Source organism: Homo sapiens, chromosome 17 (assembly GCF_000001405.40).
Source record: "Homo sapiens chromosome 17, GRCh38.p14 Primary Assembly".
Lineage (NCBI taxonomy): Eukaryota > Metazoa > Chordata > Mammalia > Primates > Hominidae > Homo > Homo sapiens.
The window spans coordinates 35,753,325-35,771,806 of NC_000017.11; the positions used below are offsets into that span (position 1 = coordinate 35,753,325).

Here is an 18,482-nt window from a genome sequence, read left to right on the forward strand (position 1 = left end):
AGGCGAGGACTGCCCTGCAGAACCAAGGGAGAGGGAGGAGAGGTTGGGGCTGGGGCTGGCTTCTCTCACGGGGCTGGCCAAATGGGAACTTTGGGGGAGTGGAGGGAAAGCAGGGGTAGGGGTTGCCATACCCCTTGGTGTTTAGTGAGTACAGGAGAATGGGAATGAAACAGACATAGAAATAGGGCCCAAAACTCATAAGTGTAGCCTTAAATCCTGTGTGACCATCATATACTACCTAGCCTCTCTGTGCCTTAGTTTCTCAACTGTAAAATGGGGGTAATAATGTTTACCTTTTTGGTGTGTTGTGAGGGATAAAGAAATAATGTATGTGAAAGTATCAGACCATCAGAACTCACAGGCAGGCACAGGTCTGAGTGGGTCCCAGTTCTCCCGGCAGCTCTGTTAGCACCATGATCCCCACTTTCTCTGAAGAACCTGCCCCACCCCCCACACTAACCATGTGATTGCGCTACAGCAGGCTGTGGGTCATAACACCCTACCACCCCCATGGCCACAGCAATGCATTCATTCAACCAACATTTCTTGGTTGGTCACGGTGTAAGTGCTGCCTGTAATCCCAGCACTTTGGAAGGCCAAGGCAGGAGGATGGATCACTTCAGGCCAGGAGTTGGAGACCAGCCTGGGCAACATGATGAAACCCTGTCTCTACAGAAATAATACAAAAATTAGCCAAGCATGGTGGCACGCACCTATAATCCCAGCTACTCAGGAGATCGAGGCTGTACTGAGCCATGATTGCACCACTACACTCCAGCCTGGGCAACACAACAAGACCCTGTCTTAAAAAAGAAAAAAGTCTTGAGCACCGACTATGTGCCAGGCACAACTGCAGGCCTGAGGATACAGCAGTAAACAAAAAAGACCAGGTCCCTGACCTTATGGGGGCTACTTCCATGTTACCGAGTGGTGAATGACAGATAGACAAATAAATCTAAGGCTGGGTGTGGTGGCTCATGCCTGTAGTTCCAACACTTTGGGAGGCTGAGGTGGGTGGATCGCTTGAGCCCAGGAGTTGGAGACCAGCCTGGCCAACATGGCGAAACCCCTTCTCTACTAATACAAAAATTAGCCAGGCGTGGTGGTGGGCGCCTGTAATCCCAGCTACTTGGGAGGCTGAGGCAGGAGAATCACTTGAACCTGAGAGGCGGAGGTTGCAGTGAGCCGAGATCGTGCCACTGCACACCAGCCTGGGCGACAAAGACTCCATCTCAAAAATAAATAAATAAATAAATAAATAAATAAATAAATAAATAAATAGTCAGATGGTGATCCATTCCAGGGAGACAAATAAAGGAATAAAGGAGGCGAGGGTATGTGTGGAATTTTCTATAAGATGGTTAAAGGCCTCAGGGATAAGGTGATAATTGAGCAAAGACCTGAAAGAAGATCGGAAGCGTGCTCTGCAGCTGTCTGGGGGATGAGTGCTCAGGCAGAGGGACAGCCAGTGCAAAAGCTCTGAGACCCCCATCTCTACAAAAACTTTTTTTAAAAGTTAGCCAGGTGTGGTTGGCACACACCTGTGGTCCCAGCTACATGCGAGGCGAGGCAGGAGGATTACTTGAGCCCAGGAGGTTGAAGTTGTAGTGAGCTATGACTGCACCACAACAGAGTGAGATCCTGTCGAAGAAGAAGAAGGAGAAGGAGAAAAAGTAAAAGGAGAAGAAAAGAAGAAGAATCCCTAAGAGAGGTAGGGTATGTAGGATAAGAATCTAGGAAATGAGGTCCTAGATCATGCAGGGCCTTGTAGGTGACTCTGAAGAGTCTGGCTTTTTCTCTGAGTGAAATGAGAAGTGCCCTAGAGTGTTTTGAGAAGGGTAGGGGTGGCCGGGCGCGGTGGCTTACGCCTGTAATCCCAACACTTTGGGAGGCCAAGATGGGCGGATCACGAAGTCAGGAGATTGAGAAGAGTAGGGACATGCTCTAATTCAGGCTGCTGTGCGAAGAAGAACTGCAGGGGCAAGGACAGAGTCAGGGGGACAGTTAGGCTACTGCAGTCATCCAGGGCAGAGCAAGGGTATCTTAAACCAAGTGGTGCCTATGGAGTTGATGACAAGTAGTCACATTCCATATTAACCCTTGAAAAGTTAATAGGATTGGTCCAAAACAGGGTTCCTTGACCTTGGCGCTATTAACATCTTAGGTCAGATAATTATTTTGCTGTGGAGGTTGTCCTGGGCATTGTAGGACATCTAGCAGCATCCCTGGCCACTACCCACCAAAAGCCAGCAGCACCCCTGCCCCCATTTTTTTATTTATTTTTTTATTTTTTGAGACAGAGTCTCGCTCTGTCGCCCAGGCTGGAGTGCAATGGCATGATCTCGGCTCACTGCAACCTCCACCTCCTGGGTTCAAGCGATTCTCCTCCCCCAGACTCCTGAGTAGCTGGGATTACAGGTGCACACCACCATGCCCGGCTAATTTTTTGTATTTTAGTAGAGATGGGGTTTCACCATGTTGCCCAGGCTGGTCTCAAACTCCTGAGCTCAGGCAATCCACCCACCTTGGCCTGCCAAAATGCTAGGATTACAGGCATGAGCCGCCACACCTGGCCCCCTGCCCCCATTAAAACAACCAAAAATGTCTCCAGACATTAACATTTGGCAATGTCTTCTGGGGGACAATGTCCCTGGGGGGCAAAATCCTCTCCCTCCCCACTGAGAGCCAATAATCTAGGAGGTAAGCATGGGACTCAGCTAGTCCAAACAGCCCTTCCCTGGGCTTTTAAAATTGGAGCTATAGGGCCAGGTTCTTTTCCCAATCAGATGGCGAAGATTTGGGGGATGCATTCCTATCACACAGAGAAAGCCCTTCTGCAATAGAGGCAGCCACATGTCTGCCTTTATTAGTTAGGGCCAAGCTAAGCTGCTACATATAACAAAAAGGCCACTGAAAACAGTGGCTCACACAAAAGAAATGTTTATTTCCCTCTCTTAGAGACAGATGATCCAAAGTAGGCAAGTGGCTCTGCTCCATGAAGTTCTCCAGGCACTCGGTTCCTTTCTTGTTGCTTCTTTAGGCCGTTGTTGTTACTTACATAGTCAATGCCGATCTCCCAGAACTTTGTCCTCAGGCTGCAGTAAAGCAGAACAGAGAGGACGGAATGCACCAAGTTCCTCTTTCATTTTTTTTTTTTTTTTTTTGAGACGGAGTCTCGCTCTGTCACCCAGGCTGGAGTGCAGAGGAATGATCTTGGCTCATTGCAACCTCTGCTTCTCGGGTTCAAGTGATTCTCCTGCCTCAGCTTCCCGAGTAGCTGAGATTACAGGTACACCGTCACGCCTGGCTAATTTTGTATTTTTAGTAGAGACAGGGTTTCACCATGTTGGCCAGGGTGGTCTCGAATTCCTGAGCTCAAGTGATTTGCCCACCTTGGCCTCCCAAAGTGCTGGGATTACAGGCGTGAGCCACTGCGCCCGGCCTATCTTTCTATTAAGATGTTCTCCACTGGGCATGGTGGCTTTTCTATTTCCTAAGAGGACTCAGAATAAGTCATAGGGCCTGTCTGAGTTGTTCTCCAGAGACAAGGGAAGAAGTATTTTCCTCCCTTGAGCATGTTTAAAAAGACTGGGCCGGACACAGTGGCTCATGCTTGTCATCCCAGCACTTTAGGAAGCCAAGGCGGGCAGATCACTTGAGGTCAGGAGCTCGAGAACAGCCTGGGCAACATGGTGAAATCCTGTCTCTACTAAAAATACAAAAACTAGCTGGGTGTGGTGGCAGGTGCCTGTAATCCCAGCTACTCGGGAGGAGGCAGAATTAGCCACTGCATTCCAGCCTGGGTGACAGAGGGAGACTCTGTCTCAAAATAAATAAATAAATAAATAAATAAATAAAATAAAAAATAGACTGTAGGAGACAAAAATGAAATTGTTTTATAACTATACTCCATGAGTCCCACTTGATCAAAGGTACCAATTACAACTGGTCTAGGACAATCTTGACAACCCTCTTTTTGCCATAAGTTGGTTTAGGAATGGGTTTGTGCTCCAGTTCTGGCCAATGAGATTCAAAGAGAAGTCTGTTGGAGAGCTTCTGAGAAGTCTCTGCCATTCCTTTTCTTCCTGCTTTGGTCATAGTTGCATGAAGCCACAATGCCTGGAGCTGCAGCAGCCATTTTGTAACCAAGAGGAGACAAGGAAGGCAAAGAGGAAAGGTGAGAATAAGCAGGGCCCTTAATAACTCCATCAAGACACTGAACCAATCCTGGAGCCCTTTACTAAGTAAATTAATAAATTGTATAAAGTTTGAGCTATTATTAGTTAGGCATTATGGATTTGACTAGCCAGTTACATCTTAATTGACATGATGCTCTAAGTTTAGGAGGCCCCATTCCTTTTCTCTATACAAATGTAAGATGTTGTTACAAATATTCCCAATCAAGTAGCACTTACATACTATCTTACTGGATTATTGTTCTTTGTTGTTCTTAATAAAATTTTTTTTAGAGATGGGGGTCTTGCTATGTTGCCGAGGCTGGAGTGCAGTGGCTATTCACAGGCGCAATTATTGTGCACTGCAGCTTCAAACTCCTGGACTCAAGCAATTTTCCCATCTCAGCCTCCTGAATTGCCAGGACTATGGGTTCCCCTCACTGTGCCCCGCTTAGATATTATTTTCTCTTAAGTTATATTTATGGCCCAGGCAAAACTAATATTGCATTTCTGTGTCATACCTATTAGAAGTTAAGGAGCTATTTATACTATTAATTTCAAAAGTTAAAGTTTAATATGAAAAAATTGTAGCTTTACCTGTGATAACTGACTTTGTCTTGTCTTTTAGGTATTATTTCTATAAATAGCAGAAAATAATGCTTGAGCTTGCCAATAGAATATAGCCCATTCTCTTCTGGTTTCAAACAGTCTCTTTTGGAGAGATATTCAGTCAATTCTGAGTTTTCACTCATTACCGGGATGGTTTCACCCCTCTCAAGAGGTCTCCCAAGCAGACGTCTGAGTGCAGGAGGCATACATATGTTCCTGGGGTTAGTGGGATTACCTGCTTGCTCTCATGTTTTCAATGAAGACTATACTAGTCCTCTGTGAGATCAATTTCTAGTGTGCTGGGTGGGCATGGTGGCTCACACCTGTAGTCCCAGCACTTTGGGAAGTCGAGGCAGGCAGATCACTTGAGGTCAGGAGTTCAAGACCAGCCTGGCCAACAGGGTGAAACCCCGTCTCTACTAAGAATCCAAAAATTAGCCGGACATGGTGGCACACACCTGTAATCCCAGCTACTCAGGAGATTGAGGCAGGAGAATTGCTTGAATCCGGGGGGCAGAGGTTGCAGTGAGCTTAGGTCATACCACTGTACTCCATCCTGGGCAACAAAGCAAGACTCTATCTCAAAAAATAAATAAAATAAAATAAAATAAAATAATAAAATAAATTCTAGTGTGCTTTTATGCTAGCATGGGTTGTTTGACAATCTGACTTTTTAGGAAGGTCCCACAAAACCCAAAACAGCCTTGGGAAGAGGGGATGCACATCCTAAGGATGGATGGCAAAGGGCTACTAGGCAGATTAGGGTTGGGGAGGCAGGATGAGAAGAATGACCATGCCAGGGGACACTCTGTTGTGGTGTCTTGGTGGGATGGTCTTTGAACAGGCTCACTGGTTTAGATGTGCCTGCCAGGGGCATTAAATCTTAGTGAGTGTCTCAGTGAGATTGCTCATGGTGCCAGTGTCCATGGGTGACCCCCAGCAGTGGCCTCCAAACTGAATTGTTCCTGTAATGCGATCTTGACTGTGTTCTTATTCGCCACCCTTCCTTGATTCCTATCCAGTTCTCAAGTCTTTTGGTCATTCTGTGAGGTCTCACTATTCTTTCTCTTTAAATCAACCAGAGTGTGCAATCAAGAGCCATGGTGGCTTTCAGTAAGTTTAAAGAGAATGAGCTTGTTGGGAGACAATTCTCCTTGAGCCTTTTGTGTTTATGCATGTCTTGAAAGCAGAGGCCCTGACTTTTCAAGGGTTTTTGGATAAGTGAGCAATCTTGGAAAATAGACGTAGTGCCTCCTTTCTGAGCAAACAGCAGGTTTGCTCACTACCAATTATAAAAGATTCAGGTTTCCTGGCTGGGCGCAGTGGCTCAGGCCTGTCATCTGAGCACTTTGGGAGGCCGAGACGGGCAGATTACGACGTCAGGAGATCGAGACCATCCTGGCTAACACAGTGGAACCCCATCTTTACTAAAAATACAAAAAATTAGCCAGGTGTGGTGACACGCGCCTGTAGTCCCAGCCACTTGGGAGGCTGAGGCAGGAGAATTGCTTGAACCCGGGAGGCAGAGGTTGCAGTGAGCCGAGATTGCGCCACTGCACTCCAGCCTGGGTGACGGTGAGACTCTGTCCGCTACCCCCCACCGCCCCCCCAAAAAAGATTCAGGTTTCCTAAGCTTGGGATTTCTGTAGTAATGCAAACCTCTGCATATACCGGTATCCACTGGCACTCATTTGTGTCACTCATAGGACACCGAAGCAAGGGAAGCTGAGGCAAACAGGCCAAAGTTGCTGTGCCACGAGTAATAAAGTCCTTTGTCTCTGACTTGGAGCCTCATGTTTTCTGGCAGCACCCATGAAACTACAACTAGTTAACATGGTAGCTTGCAAATAGGATAACATTTCAGATCCTTCACAGTTCTTGATAGGGTTGCCCCCTTGTGACTACGAGATTCCTGGGGGCCAGGTCTGCTCTCTGTTCTCCAGCCCATCAACTTGCCTCCACCAAACTTAGATGCCCAAAGGAAGGGACTCCATTGCCCTCCACTCTCAGACTTGGATGGAGGATCGCAGATCACTATTAGACTGGGCTCTCTTTGAGGTCAGCAACTTCATCTCAACAGATGGAGGGCTTTCCAGAGCTGAATCTGTCCATTGTCCATCTACACATTCCTCTCTGTGCCAACACACTCCACTTCGAGTCCAGGAAAGGAAAGGATTTTCCTGAAGCTCCTTGATTTTACTCCCTCCCTCACCCCTGCCCCCCAACAAATACACAATATCCAGGAGCTATACCAGCCTGGTACCCGAGTCCTACTTCCTACTGGACTTGGCACCATTCCCTTGTGTTCCTTGGTACTGGCAATGAAATGGAAATAGGAGAAGTGGAGAGCATGGGGTGAAGAAGGATAAGGATAAGACAGGAAGAGGAAGACAGAATATAATGATACAAACAAACCCAGTGCTTTCAGTGCTTCCCATAGGCCAGGTAAAGCGTGGTACTGTATTACTATCTCTGACTTACAGATGAAGAGACTGAGGGTCAGAGAGATACCATGCTGAACATCAGATAACTTTTATATTTATGTGGTAGAGCTGGGATTTGAACCCAGTTTATTGCGGGCCAAAGCCATCCTCTCTTCCCCTTTAATGCCTTCCTAAGAGGGAAGGTAGGAGACATCTGAGTTGTTAGTGCTTTGGGAGGCTCTGGAAAAGGAAATTATTCCTGGGCAGAGCCTTATGGGCAGGTGAGGTTCTAGCCCCACCCCTTGTGACCTAATAGAGGCCCTAGACATGAGACAAAGTTCTATGGGTTCTGGGCACCCTCTCACATCCCAGTCTCTGATCAGGGAAAGCAGGGCACAGCCTTGGGAAGAATGGATAAGCATGGTGAGTGGGGCTGGAGGCAGGGTGGGGCTGGAGGACAGGACCTCTTGACCCTAGCTTGGACAATCCAGCCCATCACCATGAAGTCCAACCTTTTCTCAGTTACCCATCCATGTAGCTGCAAGCCCTCTCCTTTCGCCTTCCTGAATTTTTTTTTTTTTTTTTTTTTTGAGATAGAGTCTTGCTCTATCACCCAGACTGGAGTGCAGTGGCGAGATCTCAGCTCACTGCAGCCTCTGCCTCCCGGGTTCAAGTGATTCTCGTTCCTCAGCCTCCCGAGTAGCTGGGACCACAGGAGCATGCCACAACACCCAGCTAATTTTTGTATTTTGTATTTTTAGTAGAGATGGGGTTTCACTATGTTGGCCAGGCTGGTCGCGAACTCCTGACCTCAAGTGATCCACCCACCTTGGCCTCCCAAAGTCCTGGGATTACAGGCATGAGCCACTGTGCCTGGCCTGTTTTTTGTTTTTTTTTTTTTAGAAACAGTCTTGCTCTGTCACCCAGGCTGGAGTACAGTGGCGTTGTCACAGCTCACTGCAGTCTCAACCTCCCAGGCACAAGTGATTCTCCTGACTTGGCCTCCCAAAGTGCTGGGATTACAGGTGTGAGCCACCACATCTGGCTCCAGAATAGTCTTAACATCTGCTTCATCATCTCCACCTGCTCCTGTTCAGACCTTTGTCTTCTCCGGCCTGGACCACTGTAATGACTCCTAAGTGGGGTCTCCCTCTGTCTTGTCAGAGGGAACATCCTAAAACACAGCTTGGAACACGTCCCTCTACAAGAATGTTCAGCGGCTCCTCACTGCTGAGAGGCAAAGTCCAGATTCCATAGCGCAGCACTCAATGTCCAACCCTTTGTTTTCAACTCCTTTTCCTCCTCCCCTTCCTCTTGAAACATCTCTGGAACCCTTTTCTAGCTGTGAACTAGGCCTGGCCTTTTACAACCAGAAGGCTAGAACACCAATCATGAGCAGTACCTTTGCTCTTTAAATAGGATGGACTGGGATCAAAAGAAACGTTTCTTTTTCTTTCTTTCTTTTTTTCTTTTTTTGAGACGGAGTTTTGCTCTTGTTGCTCAGGCTGGAATGCAGTGGCGTGATCTCGGTAAACCACAACCTCCGACCCCTGGGTTCAAGCGATTCTCCTGCCTCAGCCTCCTGAATAGCTGGGATTACAGGCATGCACTGCCACGCCCAGCTAATTTGGTATTTTTAGTAGAGACGGGGTTTCTCCTTGTTGGTCAGGCTGGTCTCGAACTCCCGACCTCAGGTGATCCGCCTGCTTCGGCCTCCCAAAGTGCTGGGATTACAGGCATGAGCCACCGTGCCCCGCCTAGAAATGTTTCTTGACTTTTCCATAGCAAACTCCACGAGTTGTGTCTTCCCTGCCTTCCTCCCCTCTTTCCTTTACAAACCTAGCTATCCAGATGTGACAGACACAGGATGCATGAAGCCTGGTGAATGTTTGCTGAATGGGCGGCGGACACCTTCTAGGGGAGGCCAGCTTAGTTTCCATGTCAGCCCAGGAACTTTCTGCTGGGGCTACTGCTTGTAGTTGTAGTAACTGTGCCCTGAACAAAGGCACCAGCAAGAGGGGACAGTGGTGGCTGAAGTCAAGCCTGGAAGAAGGAGGAAGCGTCTTTTCCTAATTGGCTCACCCTAAGGACAGCCTTTTCCCAATTGGTCTGCCCATAGAGGGTCCTTTTTCCATTTCCCTAACTATAAGGCACCTTTTCTAATCATACAGAGGTGCTGTAAGCCCACCCGCCTGCCCACCCCACCAGCGGAGATGCTGGGCTTCCTTAAGGCAAGGCCCACTTGGAGGAAGGAAATCCCGTTCAGAAAATAAAATATTCTGTAAATAACCACCTATTAAAATGGGATCAGTGGCCAGGCGCGGTGGCTCACGTCTGTAATCCTAGCACTTTGGGAGGCCGAGGCGGGCAGATCACGAGGTCAGATCGAGACCATCCTGGCAAACATGGTGAAACCTGGTCTCTACTAAAAATACAAAAAATTAGCTGGGCGTGGTGGCGGGCGCCTATAGTCCCAGTTACTCGGGAGGCTGAGGCAGGAGAATGGCGTGAACCCGGCAGGTGGAGCTTGCAGTGAGCCGAGATGGCACCACTGCACTCCAGCCTGGGCGACAGAGCGAGACTCCGTCTCCAAAAAAAAAAAAAAAAATGGGATCAGTAAGCCAGGGGAGGCGGCTCGTGGCTGTGATCCCAGCACTTTAGGGAGACCTAGGCAGGAGGGCTGCTTGAAGCCAGGAGTTCAGAGACCAGCCTGGACAACATAGTGAGACCCTGTCTCAAAAAAAAAAATCTTTTTTAATTGTGGAGACGGGGTCTCACTCTGTCACCTAGGCTGGAGTGTGGTGGTGCAATCATGGCTCACCATAGCCTCGACTTCCCTAGCTCAGCTTCCTCTCACCTCAGCCTCCCAAGTAGCTGGGACCACAGGTGTACACCACCATGCCCAGCTTTTTTTTTTTTTTTTTTTTTTGGAGCGAAATAAAAAGAGTCTGACCTTGTTGCCCACACTGGTCTCGAACTCTTGAGCTCAAGCCATCCACCGACCTCGACCTCCCAAAGTGCTGAGATTACAGGCGTGAGCCACCATGCCTGGACTTAAAAAATTTTTTTGAAAAAGTATCCAGGGCCGGGTGCAGTGACTCACGCCTGTAATCTCAGCACTTTGGGAGGCCGAAAAGGGCAAATCACCTGAGGTCAGGAGTTTGAGACCAGCCCGGCCAACATGGTGAAACCCCGTTTCTATTAAAAATACAAAAATTAGCAGGGCGCAGCGGGGCGTGCCTGTAGTCCCAGCTACTTGGGAGGCTGAGGCAAAAGAATCGCTTGAGCCCGTGAGGCGGAGGTTGCAGTGAGCAGAGATCACGCCACTGCACTCTAGCCTGAGCTACAGAGAGAGACCCTGTCTCAAAATAAATAAATAAATAAATAAATAAATAAATAAATAAATACATGAAAAATTATTCTGGACCCTTTCTCGGGGACAGCAGGACTGCCCTGACCTCCTCCCGGCCCGCAGGTGTGAAGACCCCCTTGTGGAAGAAGGAAACGGAAGAGCTCCGGGCCGAGGACGCGGAGCAAGAGGAAGGGAAGGAGGGGTCGGAGGACGAGGACGAGGACAACCAGAGGCCGCTGGAGGACAGCGCGACGGAGGGCGAGGAGCCGCCGCGGGTAGCGGAGGAGGGCGAAGGCCGCGAGCGGCGCTCAGTGTCCTACTGCCCGCTGCGCCAGGAGTCCAGCACCCAGCAGGTGGCGCTGCTGCGGCGCGCGGACAGCGGCTTCTGGGGCTGGCTCGGCCCCTTAGCGCTGCTGGGCGGCCTAACAGCTCCCACCGACAGGTGCCTGCGCGCTCCTCGACCGGGGCACGAGGGAGGCGGTGCCCGGGCCCCAGGGAGGAGGGGCTGCCCCAGGCACTGAGCGCCTGGTCCCCGCCGGCAGGAAGCGGAGCCTCCCGGAGGAGCCGTGCGTGCTGGAGATCCGGCGACGACCGCCGCGCCGCGGGGGCTGTGCTTGCTGCGAGCTCCTCTTCTGCAAGAAATGCAGGAGTCTGCACAGCCACCCAGCCTATGTGGCGCACTGCGTTCTGGATCACCCGGATCTGGGTAAGGCGGGGGCCGCTGGGAACTCCTGAGCGCCCCCGCTCCCAGCCTTTGTGCCCTCCATCATTTCCTGGCCCCAGACCCCCTACCGACCTTCTCTCTTGGAGCGCGGAGCCCTCTTCGACGCATTCCGCAGGACCGCCCCTTCTCAGCTGCTGCCCAGAGCGCCCCCATCCGTCAAGAAGGCCCACTGTTGGTGCTTGGTTCCCATCTGTCACCTAGCGCCCCCAGTGCAGAGCCCAGCATAACCTAGAGCCCGCTGTCAACAGCGCCCACCGAGGGCTCCCCGCCCCCACGCAGCACCAGCGCCACCGCACACCTGACTCTGTCCGCTCACACAGCCTCACCTTCACCTCTTGGGTATTTCAGATCCGCTCTGGCCCAGTGGGCAGAGGCATCGCCTAGAGAAAATAACCTCAGGGTTCCCTCATCCCTCTGACAAACCTGCCTCTTTCCCTGAAACCATTCAATAAAACCTCTGATCAAAGTGTCAGTGCTTTGAGGTGGCGCAGGTGGCTCCGGGTGGGGATGATCCTCCTGGGGTTCAAGCCAGAGGTAAAAGTGTGGGCAGGGAGCCTCTTCCCTCTCTACCCCAGAACGGTACAAACATTTGTATCCAAAGGCAAAGGCCCTTCTGCCCACTGCGCAGAGGAGAAAATGAACGGGCAGGGCCAACAATGGCCCTGGGGAGGTGAGGGCTGAACCCTTGCCAGACCATTCTCGCCTGCCCTAGACGCCCTGGCTTGCTGAGGTCAGTGCTGTGCATATGAGGCACTAGCAGGTGTGGAGGGGTGGGAGAAGCCTGGAAAACCAGATGCTAAAATAAATGCTGGCATGGGTGGAGGCAGAAGACAGGGAGGCTGGGGAGCTGGTTCCTTCTCCAGGAATCCCAGCTATTCTTGGCCAGACAGCAGGAGCTTTGGGAATGCCTCGTGTGTGGCCTGGAGAATGCGGCCACTGTGAGAGCACAAGGCCACCCTCAGCCTGCAGGGCTGCCTGTTGTGGAGGCTGCATCCCCAGCGCCTGCAGCGTTGCAGAGCCCCAGGAAGGCCCCTTGACCTCTCCCTGCTGCACATCATTCTCCATCTGGCCTGGAGCTGCAAGGACATTTTGCTTTTTGAGGAGAGGCAGGCCCCTTCTCTCCATCACAGCTCTGCACACACACACACAGCTGCCTAGCCCTGGCTTGGATGGAAGAGCATGGCCCTGGCCTCCCCTGCACCCATGCCCACCTGCTCTCACAGCAAAGGATGGAAGAACTGCTCCAAGGAAGGCTGCTTCCTGCCTCTCGGCCCACCAGCTGAAGGCACCTCTTTATTCCAGCCCCAGACAAAAAGCCAGGGACTGGTAGGCCTGCATCAGTCTCCCTCCCACTCTGTGTCCTGACCCCACAAAGGGCCTCTGAGGTTGGAGACGCCTGTGCCTTCATCCCCATCCATGCTTCCTGGGGGTGGGGCCTCTGACTAAATATGACACCGTTTTTCAAGAACTGAGCCAGGGGGTCCTGAGGAGAAGGGCACAGTCTTGCAAAATGGTCTCGAATTTCTCTGCTGAGTTTTTCATCCCCCTGCTTGGATCCCAGTGCTGTTACCTCTTGAAAGGAACTGTACCTTTAGCCGAAGAAACAAAGGCCTGGGGAGGATAGAAGTCCTCGGAGGAAAGGGCCAAGGGATCTGGGACCCTTTTTTGCTTTTCCTAAGATTGATCCCACCCCCACCTCCATGTGGTGGGGACAGACAAAGACAATGCTGCATTCTTCAAGGAACAAAGGCAGACAGACTTCCAGATGGAGGCTTTGCTGCCCGGTCTTCTGCAGAGGGACTCAGAGGCTTCTAAGAGGGGTTCTGCCCCGGGGGTGGGGAACATGATTTTGCCCTGAGAGCACCACCAGTTTCTGAGGTGAGGAGGTGCCTTCAGAACAGGGCGCTCCCCGAGTTGGCATGCCAGCAGCCCATCCAGGGCAGCTCGGTGGCCCAGCGGCCCGAGGTGGTTGCCTGCAGTTTGGCCTGGTCGAGGCGCCAGTAGCGGTCATCTCGGAAGAAGATGATGGAGCCATCGGGCCTCGGCAGGGCGCCGCTGACCTCCTCAGGGATGCCTCCCCAGTCCTGCAGACTTCGGGGGTAGTAGGGCTCCACTTGCAGTCCCCCTCGGGCCAGCACGTAGTAGCGGGCACCCTTGAAGAGGATGAGGCGGCGCAGAGGAGGGAAGAAGAGGGCGGCGTCAGGATGGCGGGGCAGGCCCCCTGCCCGGCACAGCTGTGGGAGACCCCACACTGGCTTGGGGCCCCGGAACCTCCAGCATCGACCCCCTGTGGGGAATTGGGAGAGCCAGGGTGAGCTGGAGGCTGTCACCCATTGGCCCTCTACCCCACTTCTGTCCCCCATACCTCTGCTCTCCTTTAAGCTGGAGCCCACGATGGTTGGTATTCATATCAATCAAACGGATTGCACTACAAATTAGTTATAAATAGCAGGGTGGTAGTAGCAACTCCTATTATTTATTGTCTAGACTCCCAGCAGGTGTCAGCAGAGGGCAGATAGCCCCGAAAGGAAGGCCCAGAGCTTTCTCCACTGCCATCATTACTAATAATTCTATGAGGGCAAGGATTTTTGTTTCATTCACTGCTGTATCCCTAACATATCCAACCACGTCTAGTGCATACAAGGCACTCAATATTGGTTGAATGAATGAACAAATGAATGAATACTATTTACCTAAGTATTAACATGTATCTAGTAAGATATTGCACACTCTTCAGGCAATATTCTCTTTTCACACTCCTTCCCCAGCAAGTGTGAGGTATTGTTTTCCCCATTCGAGAAATGCACACTCCAAAAGTTAAGCGACACGTCCAACCCCACACAGCTAGGATTCCAAGGAAGATCCAGCTTTCTGCTCAGTTGCAGAACTCCAGAGCAGTCCTCTGCTTCCCTCTAGACTCCTCTCTGAAACTCTCCCTGGGACTTTGACACTTGCTGCTCCCTAATCCATCCCTGAAAGGTATCTTCTGATAGAGTCTTCCCTGGGGTCACAGGTTCAGATTGGAATGGAGACTCCACCATGGACTCGTGTGAGAGTCTTCCCCTCTTTTGTCCTCTTTTGACCTTGGGCAGGACACCTTCCCTCTCTAGGGCTCAGTTTTCCCCGCTGCCCCAGAGCCAGTACCTTTGAAGAAGTAGAAATCTCCATCATTCAATGACACTGCCGCAGCCTCAATGTTGGGGGGCAGCCCGACCCATCTTTCCTGCAGTGGACGGGGCTCTGAGACGTTGCCATCAGCTGCCACCTCCCAGAAATGGCTCCCTTTAAAAATGTACAGTTGCTGTTGCCTGTCTGCCCAGAGACAAGAGAGAGTTGAGGAGTGACCATCAGCTTCCTGCTGTCTTTCCAGGAAAGATGCTGTCCTGGAAGCCAGTTTCCCAAATGGACAAGCATAGGGTATGGTGTGTACAGTTGGCGCAGAGGGGAAAGTGGGCAGGAAGAAGCGGTGTTTTGCTGGGTGTGGGGTTGCTACCTGCAGCGTGCTTGTGGCTTGGGATTTCTGGCTTTTACAGTCCATCCCCCCAACTTGTACTGCAGCTCTGGAGACACTAAGAGATATGGAAGGAGAGAAAGAAGCAAAGCACCAGTGGGACCTTCTTACCTACAGTGATGGCATCGAAGGAAGAGTGGCAGTATTTAGGGCCCTGCGTTTCAGGGCGCCTTCCTTGGGGGCTGTAGGAGTCCCAGGTCTCAAAGTCAGTGAACAGCTTTCCTGGGAGCTGGACGGCCACTGAGCCCCCTAGGGGCTTCCCTTTGTGAGTAAGGAAATAAGAGAGAGAGAGAACACACATAGGGTAGAGGGTATGCTGTGCACTCAAGACCTTCCCTTGGTTACTTTCATGATTATCTAATATGAGGGGCAAGGAAGGAGAGTGGGAGTGGGGGTTAAGAGTTGTTCCTGGGCCAGGAATGGTGGTTCACACCTGTAATCCCAGTACTTTGGGAGACCGAGGCAGGCAGTTCACTTGAGGTTAGGAGTTTGAGACCAGCCTTGCCAATGGTGAAACCCTGTCTGTACTAAAAATACAAAAATTAACCAGGCATGGTGGTGCACACGTGTAGTCCCAGCTACTTGGGAGGCTGAGGCAGGAGAACCGCTTGAATCCGAGAGGTGGAGGTTGCAGTGAGCTGAGATCATGCCACTGCACGCTAGCCTGGGTGACAGAGCGAGACTCCGTCTCAAAAAGAAAAAAAAAAGAGTTGTTCCTGGTTGTTGGTGCTAACCATCAAACTAAACTCAGGAATCTTCTTCTACCCAACATCCTGGGACAGAGGAACCTCCTGAGATAAAATTGGAGTGGGGTATCAAGCAAGGGAACTAAGCGGGTCAGGGAGTCCTCTTCTCTGATTCCTGGGCAACACAGGTGTCATGAGGGCAGAGTCCAGAGACCCAGGCTGTGATAACTACAGCAATTATAATAATTACATCACTATCCTTCACTTATGAGAGGAGGGAAGCAGAGTCCAACAAGCTTATTATTTGGTACCATCACCTGAATCCCAGTCTGCAATTTCCTAGCTGCATGACCCTGAGCAAGTTACCTAACCTCTCTGAGCCCCATTATCTTGATCTGTGGACAAAAAGATGCATACTTCATGGGTGTGTTGCATGTCAAGTGCCTGGCCCACAGTAGGTACTCATGAAATAGTAGCTGTTAGTATTACAGGGTATAAGTTTCTCAGGCTACAAAGCATGCTCATACCCAGTAGCACAACAGCCCTGTCAGGTAAGCAGGACCTCAGTTGTTATCTCTTTTCACAGAAGGTAAAACTGAGGGTTCACAGAGGGAAAATGCCCAAGAGCATCTGCTAATCAGGGATGGAAGGTGACTTGAACCCAGGCCTCCTGGCTCTGCCCATGGCACTCTGAGGGAGACAGCCCTGGGCTGAGATAGATCCCAGGGCAGTAGCACTGGCCCACCCTGGGGAAGAAGACCTGGTCTGAGCCCACCACCAGGCAGAGGTGGGCAGGCTTTGGGGATAGGGGGCATCAGCATCGTGGTGAGAGAAAGGCTCGGGGAGAGCTAGTGGCTGGGGCAGGAATGAAGGCTTTGGGGTCCGGGATGGGGGAAGAGGTGGGCCCAAGGATTGGGTATGGGTGATGGGGCGGGCACATGGTGTGAGCGGGAGCTGCGGGGGCTGGGGGTTGGGCAGAAATCCAGTAAGTGGAACGCAAGGGGCGGGGTTGGGGGTACTGTGCACAGGAATTAGTTGGGACTGATGGAGAGATGAGGGCCATGGACTCGGGGGAGCAAGAATCCGAGGTTTTTCAGATTTGAGGAGGGGCATAGGGCTTTAGAATTGGGACGAATCGGCGACAGGGAGGCCAGATCTATGAGCTTAGGATGGGAAATCCTATTTGCAGAGCCGGCGTTCAAGGACAGGAGGCCTTGGGGGCAGGAGTGGGACCAAGAGCGGGGCATGTCCCGGGGCCTCACCATACAGGCTCTGCACGGCCAGCACGTCGTCCCAGCTGAGCAGCGCGTCGCGGCCCAGCCTCTTGTAGTAGGGCGCCATGAGCGCGCGCGGCGCGGGCGAGTGGGTGAGGCCAAGCGTGTGACCGATCTCGTGCGCCAGCACCACGAACAGGTTGCGCCCGCGGCGGCGGCTCAGGGACCAGCGCTCATCTTGGTCGAAGTGCGCTTCGCCGCGGCGGGGCAGGAAGGCGTGCGCCAGGGCGCCCCCTGCAGGTGGGGCAGAAGGTCAGGGGGTGCCACGGCCCACGACGCCCCCAGGTACTCGCGGCCCAGCGCAAATGCCACTGGGGTGTGTGTGGCTGTTCTCTGCTGTATAGTTTCCCTCCTAAAATCTGGCAGAACCTGAAGTGTGCAGAGGTGAACAGTAGGCTCTGCACTACTTCAGGTGAGTAGTGCAGTGGACGATGAGTAGGCTGTGGACGCCTAAGAGGCACTGTGGTGTAGATATGGCATGGGCCCACCAATTTGGGTGCCATTCCTACTTTTACAATCTACTAGCTGTATGACCTTCAGCATTTAGCTTAACCTCTCTATGTCTTAACTTCCTGATCTGCAAATGGGAATGATGATGGTGAGCTTCTTCCTCACAGAGTTGTTCTGAATAATAAATGTGTGTGTGTGTGTGTGTGTGTGTGTGTGTACATGTGTATTACAAATGATGCAGCAGGGTGTGGTAGCTCACGCCTATAATCTCAGCACTTTGGGAGGCTGATGTGGGAGGAACATTTGAGCCCAGGAGTTCGAGACCAGCCTGGGGAAACAAAGCAAGACCTCATCTCCACTAAAAAACAAAAACATTAGCTAGGCGTGATGGTGTGCACCTGTAGCCCCAGCTACTTGGGAAGCTGAGGTGGGAGGCTCTCTTGAGTCCCAGGAGGTCAAGGCTGCGGTGAGCTGTGATTGCGCCACTACACTCCAGCCTGGGTGACAGAGTAAGACCCTGTCTCAAACAACAACAACAACAACCACGAAACAACAACAACAAAAAAGTGATCCTTGGAACAGTGCCTAGCACGTAATAAGGGCCACTTAAGAATTACTTTCAGGCTGGGTGCGGTGGCTCACGCCTGTAATCCCAGCACTTTGGGAGGCCGAGGCGGGTGGATCACGAGGTCAAGAGATTGAGACCATCCTGGCTAACACGGTGAAACCCTGTCTCTACTAAAAATGCAAAAAGTAGCCAGGCGTGGTGGCGGGTGTCTGTAGTCCCAGCTACTCGGGAGGCTGAGGCAGGAGAATGGTGTGAACCCGGGAAGCAGAGCTTGCAGTGAGCTGAGATCACGCCATTGCACTCCAGCCTGGGTGACAAAGCGAGACTCTGTCTCAAAAAAAAAAAAAAAAAAAAAGAATTACTTTCAAAAAGATCTAGGAGTAGGTAGAGTATAGTTACCCCTAAAAGGAGGCATGATGGGACCTTCTGTTTCTTGATTTGGGTGCTGGGAGCATTCAGTGTATGAAAGTTCATCAGGCTAAACTTGAGATGGTTCACTTCTATATGTATGTGTATTTTATTTAATAAAAAGTATAATTTTTATTTTTATTATTTTATATATACTTTTGTTAAAGAAAATATACATACATATAGAAGTGAATATATATATATATATATATATATATATATATATATATATATATATATATATATATATAAAATTGTGTTCTTGCCCTCCTCTGCCAGGGCACCTCTGGGGGGCCTCTCTC

General features: G+C 51.0%; 2 protein-coding genes across 15 annotated transcripts in view, besides 2 other annotated features; one reads left to right on the forward strand and one right to left on the reverse strand.

Moving 5' to 3' along the window:
* Positions 2,925-18,482, reverse strand: part of MMP28 (matrix metallopeptidase 28) — a 39,393-nt gene continuing 23,835 nt past the window's right edge. For 7 of the 14 annotated variants that reach the window (XM_011525225.2, NM_024302.5, XM_011525226.3 and 4 more), the window contains 4 exons: positions 16,743-16,988; positions 14,906-15,055; positions 14,428-14,595; positions 12,541-13,570 (listed from right to left, as the gene is read on the reverse strand). In XM_011525225.2, the coding sequence (XP_011523527.1) occupies positions 13,176-13,570; positions 14,428-14,595; positions 14,906-15,055; positions 16,743-16,988 (959 nt within the window). In that variant the 3' untranslated portion in view covers positions 12,541-13,175. Of the gene's footprint in view, positions 3,096-12,540; positions 13,571-13,648; positions 13,712-14,427; positions 14,596-14,776; positions 14,853-14,905; positions 15,056-16,742; positions 16,989-18,482 lie in introns of those variants that run through there. The other 7 variants (NR_111988.2, NM_032950.4, XM_017025064.2 and 4 more) reach the window with 7 other exon arrangements.
* On the forward strand, positions 7,563-11,755 carry C17orf50 (chromosome 17 open reading frame 50). Its single transcript, NM_145272.4, has 3 exons — positions 7,563-7,630; positions 10,683-11,001; positions 11,102-11,755. The coding sequence occupies exons 1-3, from the start codon at positions 7,618-7,620 to the stop codon at positions 11,292-11,294; spliced, it is 525 nt and encodes a 174-aa protein (NP_660315.2). The 5' UTR covers positions 7,563-7,617; the 3' UTR covers positions 11,295-11,755.
* Positions 10,848-11,227: a silencer, noted in NCBI's record as "silent region_8441". NCBI's record gives its function as "represses an Ori minimal core promoter by ATAC-STARR-seq in GM12878 lymphoblastoid cells {active_cell/tissue: GM12878}" and the evidence as "EXISTENCE:reporter gene assay evidence [ECO:0000049][PMID:35858748]".
* Positions 12,324-12,824: an enhancer, noted in NCBI's record as "H3K4me1 hESC enhancer chr17:34092667-34093167 (GRCh37/hg19 assembly coordinates)". NCBI's record gives its function as "activates a minimal SCP1, AML or CMV promoter by ChIP-STARR-seq in naive H9 embryonic stem cells {active_cell/tissue: H9 hESC(naive)}" and the evidence as "EXISTENCE:reporter gene assay evidence [ECO:0000049][PMID:30033119]".